The 6000-nt window shown below is 50.7% G+C and overlaps 1 pseudogene, besides 1 other annotated feature; it reads right to left on the bottom strand.

Moving 5' to 3' along the window:
- Positions 1 to 870: 870 nt before the first annotated feature.
- LOC644269 (G protein pathway suppressor 1 pseudogene) lies at positions 871 to 2857 on the bottom strand (annotated as a pseudogene).
- Positions 1206 to 1779: an enhancer, noted in NCBI's record as "H3K27ac-H3K4me1 hESC enhancer chr6:90596851-90597424 (GRCh37/hg19 assembly coordinates)". NCBI's record gives its function as "activates a minimal SCP1, AML or CMV promoter by ChIP-STARR-seq in primed H9 embryonic stem cells {active_cell/tissue: H9 hESC(primed)}" and the evidence as "EXISTENCE:reporter gene assay evidence [ECO:0000049][PMID:30033119]".

Raw genomic sequence — 6000 nt, 5'->3', positions numbered from 1 at the left:
ATGCTGAAAGAAGAAACATCTCAAAAAGAGAATAAACATTTTTAGGGTCGGGTGTGGTGGTTCATGCCTATAATATCAGCACTTTGGGAGGCCAAGGCAGAAGGATTGCTTGAGGCTAGGAGTTGGAGACCAGCCTGAGTAACATAGTGAGACCCCAGTCCTTACAAAAAAAAAAAAAAATTAACAAAGGATTGTGGTGCATGCCTGTAGTCTTAGCTACTCGGGAGGCTGAGGAGGGAAGACAACTTTAACCCGGGAGTTCAAGGTTGCAGTGCTATGATTGCACCATCGCGTTCCAGCCTTGGTGACAGAGCAAGACTCTGTCTCAAAAAAAAAAAAAAAAAAAAAAAAGAAAGAAAGAAAAGAAAAAAGACCAGTACGTGGTGGCTCATTCCTGTAATCCCAGCACTTTGGGAGGCCTCAAGCAGGTTACTTGAGCCCAGGAGCTCGAGACTAGCCTGAGCAACACTGCAAAACCCCATCTCTGCAAAACAACACAAAAATTCGCTGGGCATGGTGTTGTGCACCTGCAGTTCCAGCTACTCGGGAGGCTGAGGTGGGAGGATCACTTGAGCCCAGGAGGTGGAGGCTGCAGTGAGCCCAGATCGCGACACTGCACTCCAACCTGGGCAACAGAGCAAGACTCCGCCTCGAAAAAAAAGAAAAAAATAAACCTCCCTCTCCTCCTCTCTCCCTCCTCCTCTTCTTATTCTGCCTCTTCCTCTTCCTCCTCTTCTCCCTTCCCCTCCCCTCCCCTTCCCCTCTCCCTCCTTGGAATAGGAGGGTTCCAGGAGGTGGTGCCCCCTAGGCGCTGCACAGCCTGCTTCCTAGGTACAGACACCCACGCGGTCAAGCCCTACAGGCCCCGCCTTCCAGGATGGCTAGCAGCCGCCTGCCTCCCAGGCCCCAGCACAGGGCACATGGGGTGCGAGGGCACACGGGGTGCTAGGGCACACAGCCAGGCTCTCCACTGGGCCGCGGGTGGCACAGAGCTGCCTCGAAGTGAACAGGTCCGTTGGGGCGGGAGGGTGTGCAGACGTCCTGGAGGCTGACCCCTAAGAAGCTGGTGTCCACCGGGACTGGCTGTTGGCCGGAGTCGCTCCCCGGGCTCCCTTCTCTGGAAGGGATTTCACGTGGATCTGGTTGCGCAGCACAGCTACCCTCAGCATCCGGCCTTTGGCGCGGTGCTGAAACTCCCTGCCGATCCGCAGAGACTTCTCGAAGGTGGTGCTTGCGCTGATCCACATCCCGGGCGTCCAGGATCTTGCTGTGCGAGTCCACGCGGGCGCGTCAGCCCCTCCCGGACTTGCTGCGTCAGCTCACCCTCCCGGGCTGCCACAGCGGGGCTAAGGGCACGGCCACCCTGTGCGAGTTGAGGGCAGAGTTGCGAATCTGGGCGTACAGGGTCCTGACGGTGGGGCGGTGAGGGAGTGGGGGTGGGGGAGGTACACATGTCCAAGAGCAGGTCGTCCTACATCTCCTCCTTTGTGTGTGTGTGTGTGTGTGTGTGTGTGTGTGTGTGTGTGTGTAGACAGAGTCTCTCTTTTTCTCCCAGGCTAGAGTGCAGCGGCGCGATCTCGACTCACTGCAAACTCTGTCTCTCACGCTCAGGCAATTCTCTTCCCTGAGCCTCCGGAGTAGCTGTGATTACAGGCAGGCACCACCACGCCCAGCTAATTTTTGTATTTTTTAGTAGAGACGGGATTTCGCCATGTTGACCCAACTGGTCTCAAACTCCTGGCCTCAAGGCTAAAGGTGCAGCATCTTCAGACACGAGGCATCGTCCAGCATCTTCAGACACGAGGCACGCTTGGACTCGTGGAATTAGAAGACGATGTCTCCAACCTGCGGCTCCAGCTCCAAGAACAACTTGAAGGAGCTGCTGGAGATGAGGCGGCGCTGCAGCTTCTGCCGGTCGAAGGTGGCCAAGGCGCATAGGCCCCCACAGACGGCCACGTTGCTGGGGGACAGCAGCTGGGGGACGTCACAGTGATCAAACGAAGCCAGCAGGAAGCATTTGGCAGCCTGCTTGTACTTCCTCGCGACCAGCTCTGCCAAGCCTCCAGCGCATTGAAGCTGGGTGAGGACCGCCTGCGCCTGGCTGGCTGCCCCTCTGTCCTCGCTGCTAGGCAATCTCCAGGGTGGACTCGGCCTTGCTGACGCGGCTCAGCACGTAAGGCCAATTTTGCAAGTAGACGCTGACCTTGAAGACGTTGAGGACATGTTGATGGCGTGCTTGGCGCTGCTGCAGTAGTCTCAGGCCGTGAGTGACACTTGAGGGCATTGCTGAATCATCATGGCCGCGCCTGGTGCGCTCCTTGGTGGAGTTGCGCTTGTAGTTCTTCAGGTCTGCGTCCGGCTTCTCCAGCTTAAGCAGGGCCTCTTTCTGAGTGGCCTCCACCCAGGCCGTGTCCAGGGACGGGGGCTCCACGCCACTCTCAAGGATGGCGTCGGGTGAGTTCCTCAGATTCCTGGTGGCCTCCGAGAGCTTCAGGTGGACCTCTTCGAGAGCTTCCGGTGGACCTCTTCGTACAGGTCCACGTTAAAGATTCTCTGCAGGAAGGAGAGCGCCATATTCAGGGCATCCACCCGCAGCAAGGGGCAGTAGTCAGTCAGCAATAAACTGCAGCCGCTCAGTGCACATCAGGCCGCTGCAACTGGCAACGCACTGCTCCAGTTCCAGGGTGGCGTCCACCAAGTAGTTGATGTCGGGTGCATTCTGCAGGTCCTCCGGGAGGTCCTTGTCGACTTGCATGGGCTCCACAGCCGCCTCCTCAGAGTAGCGTACAGGACGACAGGCTGGAGCTCAAGATTAAGTTCCTGGCCATGCCAGGCAGGAGGAGGTAACACCTACAGCAAATGTGTGTGTGTGTGTGTGTGTGTGTGTGTGTGTGTGTGTGTGTGTGTGTGTGTGTGTGTGTATGTATGTATTTTTTTTTTAAATGAGGTGGAGTCTTCCTCTGTCGCTCAGGCTGGGGTGCAGTGGCGCCATCTCGGCTCACTGCAACCTCTGCCTCCTGGGTTCAAGCGATTCTCCTGCCTCAGCCTCCTGAGTAGCTGGGATTACAAGCATGCGCCATCATGCCCGGCTAATTTTTGTATTTTTAGTAGAGACGGGGTTTCACCATGTTGGCCAGGCTGCTCTCCAACTCCTGGCCTCAAGTGATCTGCCCTCCTCAGCCTCCCAAAATGCTGGGATTACAGGTATGAGCCACCGCGCCCAGCCCCTACTGCAAATTAAACACCTGAACCCGCAGCGGCATCTTGCACCAGCCCCGCCACAGCATGCCGTCCATTTCTGTGCCGATATTCTATTAGTAGTAGTAGTAGTAGTAGTACTAGTATTTTAAAGATAGGGTCTTGCTCTGTTGCCCAAGCTGGACTCCAACTCCTGGGCTCAAGTGATCCTCTTACCTCAACCTCCTGAGTAGCTGGGACTACAGGTGTGCATCACCATTCTTGTTGTAGCAATATTCTATTAGGTCAAAACATATGGCTCAAGAAAATATTTTTCTTTCTAAATAGAGAATCTGGAAGCCAGTAGTAGCCTTAGAAACCTAGGTCTGATTTTTGTAGAGAAAGAATGAGAATTCCAGAGAGGTCAAACGACTTGCCCAATGCTGATAGACCAGGTCTCCAAACTCTCAGTGTGCAGCATCTTTCGCTAGTCACATCTCAAGCATATAATCTTCTTGCCATCTTAAGAGGTGTTGACCGCAAGGGCATCACTAGAACCCAATGAGGGTTTCAGATCACAGCTCTGAGGCACATTTCTAAGCCTGCTCTTTTCCATATAAAATGTAGAAGTGCATAAAATTACTGATAGTTCATCGTTATCATCTGCCTATTCTATTTTTGGTCATTTAGTTTTTAAAAAAGGATGATAATGAAAGGTAGACAGGTGACATTAAACTTCCACTAGCCTGGCACATCAGCCCAAAGTACAAATTATCTGTCAGAATTAACTAGAGGTAAAAACATATGATGTATTAATAACTGTATTTGTATAGTATTAGGTAAAAAGTCACCTGAAAAGTAATGAATGTAATACATTGAATGCATTTTGTCAGAGTCAGAATATTAAACATTGATAAGCAAAGGATGCATGTGTAATCTCTTAAACATTGATAAGTAAAGGATGCATGTGTAATCTCTCAGAGAACAATAAAGTTAAGAGAGGTAAAATTGAATTAAAAATAATCAACCTAAAAGAAATTAAAGAAGAGGAGAGGAAATAACACAGAGGAGATAGGACATAATAGAGGAAAGAGTTGGATGGAAGATTTAAATTCCCCCACAAAAAAACAATACTTCATCCTCAGGGCAATTGCAGAGATTAGTGCAATTGCAGAGATTAAAGTCTTGAAAGCGGCTGAGCACAGTGGCCCTTTTCAAGGGGCCAGCATTTTGGAAGGCTGAGTCGGGTGGATCACTCCAGGCCAGGAGTTCCAGACGAGCCTGGGCAACATGGTGAAACCCCATCTCTACTAAAAATACAAAACGTAGCCACGTATGGTGGCGCATGCCTGTAATCCCAGCTACTTGGGTGGGTGAGACACGAAAACTGCTTGAACCGGGGAAGCAGAGGTTGCAGTGAGCCAAGGTCATGCCATTGCTCTTCAGCCTGGGGCCTGGGCAACAGAGTGAGACCCTGTCTCAAAAAGAAAAAAGACACTAAATGTGCTGCATGGTACTACCTATCTCATCCTTTGTACAGAAAAAGAATAATAGATCTTAGAAAATTATCACCTTAATCATGCACTGACTCCAATTGCAGTTACTGCTCCAGATGTGGTATCTTTAATGGAAGAAATCGAATTAGTCTTGTCACACAGTATGCAGCCATTCACATGGCAAATGCTTTTTCTCTATATCAATTTGCAAATATTAACAGAAGTCATTTGCCTTAAAAAGAAAACAAAGTGGGCCGGGCGCGGTGGCTCACGCCTGTAATCCCAGGACTTTGGGAGGCCAAGGTGGGTGGATCACGAGGTCAGGAGATCGAGACCATCCTAGCTAACATGGTGAAACCCCGTCTTTACTAATAATACAAAAAAATTAGCCGGGTGTGGTGGCGGGCGCCTGTAGTTCCAGCTACTCGGGAGGCTGAGGCAGGAGAATGGCGTGAACACGGGAGGCAGAGCTTGCAGTGAACCGAGATCACGCCACTGCACTCCAGGCTGGGCGACTGATCAAGACTCCGTCTCAAAAAAAAAAAAAAAAATGCCGGGCGTCGTGGCTCACCCCTGTAACCCCAACACGTTGGGAGGCCGAGGTGGGCGGATCACGAGGTTGGGAGATCAAGACCATACTGGCAAACAGCGAAACCCCGTCTCTACTAAAAAATACAAAAAAACTAGCTGGGCGTGGTGGCAGGTGCCTGTAGTCCCAGCTACTTGGGAGGCTGAGACAGGAGAATGGCGTGAACCTGGGAGGCAGAGCTTGCAGTGAGCGGAGATCGCGCCACTGCACTCCAGCCTGGGCGACAGAGTAAGACTCCGTCTCAGAACAAAACAAAGTGAATGAGTCTGTATTAACATAAATTTCAAAAATATTCTTAGTGACTGGGCGCAGTAGCTCACACCTGTAATCCCAGCAATTTGGGAGGCTGAGGCAGGTGGATCACCTGAGGTCAGGAGTTGGAGACCAGCCTGACCAACATGGTGAACCCCCGTCTCTACTAAAAATTACAAAAAATTAGCCAGGGGTGGTGGCACATGCCTGTAATCCCAGCTACTTGGGAGGTTGAGGCAGGAGAATTGCTTGAACCTGGGAGGTGGAGGTTGCAGTGAGCCCAGATCGCACACACTCCAGCCTGCGCAACAAGAGCAAAACTCCATTTGAATAAAAAGAAATCTGAGTGAATAAAGGACATCACAGAACAAAACATACTTTGGAATACTCTCATAAATTTAAAACTCTCAATTCTATATGTTGTTTATAGGAATATATATTTTTATGAAATATATATATGTACATATATATATATTTTTTTAATTC

The sequence above is a fragment of the Homo sapiens genome, chromosome 6 (assembly GCF_000001405.40).
Source record: "Homo sapiens chromosome 6, GRCh38.p14 Primary Assembly".
Taxonomy (NCBI): domain Eukaryota; kingdom Metazoa; phylum Chordata; class Mammalia; order Primates; family Hominidae; genus Homo; species Homo sapiens.
The sequence above is the reverse complement of the archived record's forward strand: the minus strand, read 5'-3'. Positions and strand labels throughout refer to the sequence as shown.